This window comes from Homo sapiens, chromosome 4 (genome assembly GCF_000001405.40).
Source record: "Homo sapiens chromosome 4, GRCh38.p14 Primary Assembly".
Lineage (NCBI taxonomy): Eukaryota > Metazoa > Chordata > Mammalia > Primates > Hominidae > Homo > Homo sapiens.
Window position 1 is genome coordinate 126,458,459 of NC_000004.12, and position 6,242 is coordinate 126,464,700.

Here is a 6,242-nt window from a genome sequence, read left to right on the forward strand (position 1 = left end):
CAGCACTGTCGTCTCCTCAGTGCCTAGAAGAATGCCTGGCACACAGTAAGTACAAAGATAGGGACCTGAGTGAATGAGTGCATCTTTTATTCTTCTCTAGAACACATAATCACCAAGTCCTTTCACAGCTGACCACCACATTCAGGGGCTCTGGTGTCTTGAACTGCTGTTCAGCTTTCATATAGACAAAACGAAAAGCTACATGTGTGGGGATGGAGGTCTTGTCACAACCTCCAAATTTATTTTAAAGAATAATGTTGACATTCATTTCAAATTCAATTCCTTCACTCTTCAAATGTTTGCCTTATATCTCATTAAAATTACTTTAAATTATTTGGATATTTTTCCTAAAAATGTTTATATGGATGAAACCATTAAAAATGTGATTGCTGTGACTTCATCACATTTTTACTTAATACTGGTTCTTTTTAATCTTGTTTTAGTATTAAATAATTTCCCCCAAATAAAATAGAAATGTGGTCATTCCTGGTAGTGGACCTGACGTTATCAGATGAGTTTTCCTCTCCAGATGCCATGGTTTTATGTACTGTAAATGATCTTCTCATTACCAGATGGTATGAGAAAGAAACTGCTTCAGGGAGGTAGATGCTATAGAAGTCTGTACATTGAGTAGCAATAAAAAAAAGCAAATCTTTGTAAACTAGCCAGCAAAGCATCTTAACACAGCAGTGAGTATTGGGGAATGCAAACAGTGAACTCGCCATCTGACCAGATGTGGACATTCCTAATGGATGATAAGTTTAATTAACCAATAAAATGTTTTCAATTTAAAGCTTAAAGTGGTGATTATAATGTTTGTGTTCTTTGCCTAGACAGTACAGCTGAAGCAGAGATACCAAAAAAGCAAATTAGTTTGCAAACCAAATATTTACCAGACTAGCTCTTAATCTAGGCTATTTTTTATTGTTCTAAAACTTAAGATATGGAGGATGTAGAAAAATTACATGAAAATTGAGACAATTGCTGAAATACATGCTGATAACATTTTGCTTTTACTCTACACCTAATTCAAATCATGATTTTAACTGCAGTGGTTCTAAGTATAATTGTATTTTTTGAGTTAAGGACTTTACTTTAATCGTCATTCCATTTTATATATTTCTCATTTTAGAGTTGGTTCATTTGCCTGTTTTCTGGGTACATGTGATTATTTAATACATTTATACAATTGGTAAAGAAAAAAAATCTATGTACTTAGGACATCCATCACATTAAACATTTATCTTTTGTCTATGCTGGAAACATTTGAATTATTCTCTTGTAGCTATTTTTAAATATACAATAGATTATTGTAAACTATAGTCAACCTACTGATCTATCAAACACTAGGTATTATTTCTTCTATTAAACTGTGTATTTTTACTTATTATCAACTTCCCTTTATTTCCTGTCCCCTCTACAATTCTTGTCCTCTGGCAACTGTCATTCTACTCTCTTATCTCCATAAAATCATTTTTTTTAGCTCCCACATATGAGTGAGAGCGTGCCATATTTGTCTTTCTGTGCTTGGATTATTTCACTTAATATAAGGACCTCCAGGTCAATCCATTGGCTGCAAATAACAGGATTTTATTCTTTTAATGGTCCAATAATATTACACTGTGTATATATACCACATTTTCTTTCTATTCATCCATTGATGGGCACTTAGGTTGATTTCATATCTTGGCTGTTGTGAATAAATGGTGCTGCAATAAACATGGGAGCCAAATATCTTTTAAATGCATTGATTTCTTTTCTTTGTGATATATCCTCAGTAGTGAAATAACTGGAATATATGGTAGTTCTATTTTTAGTTTTTGAGGACCTGCCATACTGTTCTCCACAGTGGCTGTACTTATTTACGTTTCCACAACAGTGTACAAGGATTCTCCTTTCTCCACATCCTCACTGGCATCTAAGGTTTCCTTTATGATAAAAGGCATTCCAACTAGGGTGAGATGATATCCAATTGTGCTTTTGATTTGCATTTCTCTGATGATTAGTGATGTTGAGCATTTTTTCATATACGTGTTTGCCATTTGTATGTCTTCTTTTGAGAAATGTCTATTCAGATCATTTGACCATGTTTTAAATGGATTATTTGGCTTTTTGCTATTGTGTTGTTAATGCTCCTTGTATATTCTAGTATCAATTCCTTGTCGTATGGGTAGTTTCCACGTATTCTCTCCCATTCTGTGGGTTGTCTCTTCATTTTGCTGATTGTTTTCTTGTAGAAGAGGCATCTATTGCATAACTACTTTTCAAGATGCTCGGTCCCAAATATTTACCCCCTCCTGATTTAGGACACGTACACTTGAATGCTCAACTATTAATGTCAACTTAGCATATGTAAAACTAAATTCAACTTCATCTTTTTCTCTAGACTAGATTCTGTTGCTCATTACTTTCTTCTATCATTGTCATAGAGAAAAAACTTGAAAAAGACAGTCACTCTTTGACTCCTATGTGCCCCATCCTTATATTTTGCTTGTCATCAGCAGGCTTATCAATCATTCTTTTTATCATATATTTTTCATGTATTTATTATGTTTTCTACTCCTAAGCACCTGGTTTGACCTCACTGAAATATCTCTGAACTGCAGAATGAACTTCGGGCTTTTAATTTTTTAATCTAGAGGAAGTATACTGTTGGCCTAAATCTGATAGTCCTTATTGTCATAGCATTATTATCTTCAAGGACAAAAAATCTTATATTTTCCCTCTGAATTGAGTCAAAACTCAGAGATGATTAGGATTCACCTTTATTCATCTTTATCCATTTAACCTCACTTCCAGAAAAACCTCAGTGTGGATTAGTATCCAACTAGGAGATCTTACATTTTTACTCCCCTCTACCTTTTTTTAAGCTCCTAAAGATTAAGAAATGCAGTTTAATATATTTCATAGCACTTAAACATTTAACAGATAAATAATTAATTATAAATAAATTACAGTGCTTTTTGTAAAGTTTTTTTCCTGTTTTTCAAATACTAGCAGTAGTAGTGAATATATTGAGTTAATTAAAAGCAAATACTAGCAGTAGTAGTGAATATATTGAGTTAATTAAAAGCATAAAGTAAGTAACTTTAATCATCATTCAGTTGGTAGTCTGCATTCAAAATTTAAATATTCAAAAGTATTTATTAATTCTCTATTATGTATCAGGCAGTATTCTAGTCACTAGGAATATAGAAGTAAACAAAACATGGCAAGTTGTTGTATCTTAGTATTGCTGTCTACTCTGAGTCCTCATGTCATAATCCAACCCTTGAAATAGGTTGTTAATCATATATGTGAGTGTGTATAATATGTGTGTATATAATTATATAACCATATAATATAATCATGTAATATAATTATATTATCATATAATTCTATACACATATTATATACACACATATAAATATAAATATAATTATAATGTATAATTATACATATTACATTATATAATTGTATTATATTGTATATATGTTGTATATATGTGATGTATATTACACACACACACACACACACACACACACTTGTTTTGAAAAGATTCAAGACAATGAGAAGACCCACAGGAAAGATTTTTATCTAAATATTGTTATGGCTCTTGCTTGATGTTAATTAATAAATTTTCCATCTTTTAAAATATATATTTTACATAAAACACATGTGTATACACACTCATATATACACACACATACATTTTTCTTAATTCTATAACAAAGAAACTGACAAAGGAGCTTTTCTGGTCCACCCCATCCTTTATACTGACCATGCATACTTCATTCAGCAGCTCAGCAGTGTGTCATGAAAGATCCTCAGCTGTCACTTCATTTTCTTATGTTAAAATTAATCTGCAAACCCAGACCCCATATCGTAGATAATCATGGTCTGAAGCTGTTTTCTTTACCTGGTTTTAATGTAAGTATTCAGTGTTAAATTCTTTTTTACATAAATGCCTATACAATTTTACTGTAATTTCTATATCATAACAATGTAAACACAGGCATTTGTACTTCACTTTCTCACCAGTGCATGTTACTTTTCATATTCTCATTACAATCCACCAGTCTTTATAAAGTTGTCATAGAAATTAAAATATTATGCAATGACTACCTTGAATAATGATCACGAATGACAATTCTGAAAATATGCTACGAAAAGATGACAATGAATTCAGAGACTGGAATGCAAAGTGCTCTAGATGGGCACATAATACATGAATTTGGATCTATATCAATATTAAATTTTATTTGACATCTCTGAATTTATTATGGAAAAAGATATCATATTTATTCAATTAACTTGTTTGAGAGCTATTCTTCCTTATCAGTATCTTCTTAATTAGAACAAAATCAAATACTCACAGTACTCATTCTAATCATTGTGGAATCTTCCTACATTTTTAAACTCAAACTGCCTCCATTCTGATCCAATTTTCTTCTGGGTATACATTTTAGGGCCTGTAATCCTACGAATATCATTTCCTCTGGTCGCTTAATTTGAATGTGAACTTATTTGAAATTTTAAAATTTCAATTCATAAAATATATTTTATTTTTCCTTCTTTCCGACTCTAAGTACCTTATGTGGTGCACGTGAAATTAATTCCAGCTCTGTCCTCAAAGCAGAGTCAATGTCTGCATACTGTCCAGACTAATCTTGGCTCCTAAGAGGGCAAGGGATTTAGAAAATCAATTAAAATACTAAAATGGTTAATTTTATTCTTTAGAAGAAAATTACTGTGCTCTCCATTAACTGGATATACCTTTTACAATTAAGTATACAGAAGAGTATAAATGGTTTCAAATACTAAATTTCCTTATCCAAGGTAAACTTTTCATAAAGTTAGTATGTTTTAATCATAGATATTTTTGACATAAATGTGAACATTAATAATGTTAGTATACATGATGAGCCTATACAGTGCTATTTGGGACCCACGTATTCTCCTGAGGAAAAAAAAAATTAAGACAATTGGGAGCCCCCAGGAAAGATTTTTATATCTAAATATTGTTATGACTCTTGCTTGATGTTAATTATTAGATTTGCAATCTTCGAAAATATTTCTGAATATGATCAATTTTCATTTTAAATTAAGTTATTGCCATAAGTAAAAATTCATTGATACTATTACATAGGCTAGGATACTAAAACACAAACAAATGTTTTAATGTAAAGTGAGCTTATGGTCTAATTTGAAAAGCACAATATGTATTAAAAAAAGAAGAAAAATCACCAAGAGAACTATTTCTCATGTCAATGATTGTTTTTTAAGATGTGATAGAGATATTCCTAGAACAAATGTATTAGTGGTTCAGTTGCACAGGAAGGGAAGGCCTCATTCAATTTTGAAGTGAGCCTTGAAGGAACAGTTATCCTTAGATTAAAAAGAGAGGGGGGGAATTTTAGGCAGTAGAATGTTTAAACAGTGGAAACTGCTATGTATAATAGCTCGAAATGGGATTGAACATTATTTATTTATTTGAAATGACTTGCCTTTTAACAAGTTTGGATATATGTTTTAAAAATATTAAAAATATGAATTGAACATCTCAAATTTTTCTCAGGTCGGTCTCATTTCATCAAATCAGTTTCCACACTGATACATGTGGTTAGGTTTATCTGTGACACTAAAGTAGAAACTTAAAGATAATATTTTTAAAAGGAACTGTTATTGTCATTTTGAGGTAGAAAAGTCCTTTGAATTTGAAGGGAACAAAAATGAAAAGAATATTTAACTGCTAAGGTTGAGATCAAGGTGTTAGTATCTTCGTTTTCAACTCTACCTTTTCTCTTTGTTGTCATCATACCGTGTTCCATTCTCTTCTCTTTTCAATCAAGCTTTTTGTAAGCTCTGCGAACATAAAAATGTTGATAGAAGTCATGAGTCTACACAATATTGTAATGTGGGCTCCATGTACTCATCAAATACAAAGAATTCAAAAAAATTAAATTCCCATGCTGATTTTCAATCTAGAGGGTCAATTCTGATGCTATGCCTAAACAATATGCTATAATCAAACAGTTAAAATCAGAAACAAGATTGCAAATTGTTCTTGGATTGCACAGTATTATATAGTTAGGACTTAAAATACATATTATTTTTGTGTTCAGAATGTATGCTGTAAAATATATAATCGCTATCATACAAGCTCCAGTATATTAACTTTTTCAGACCCTTGGACCTAAGTTTCAGAACAGTAGTGGATAGCTGCTGAAAAGAAATACGTGCTAACAAAATTAAAGCAACAT

At 31.3% G+C, this 6,242-nt stretch overlaps 1 long non-coding RNA gene across 1 annotated transcript; it reads right to left on the bottom strand.

The window, feature by feature from the left end:
* Positions 1 to 3,558: 3,558 nt before the first annotated feature.
* LOC105377411 (uncharacterized) lies at positions 3,559 to 5,847 on the bottom strand. Its single transcript, XR_939183.3, has 3 exons — positions 5,777 to 5,847; positions 4,572 to 4,656; positions 3,559 to 3,898 (listed from the first exon to the last, which is right to left on the bottom strand). It is a non-coding gene; the product is annotated as an uncharacterized LOC105377411 (long non-coding RNA).
* Between the last annotated feature and the right edge of the window lie 395 nt (positions 5,848 to 6,242).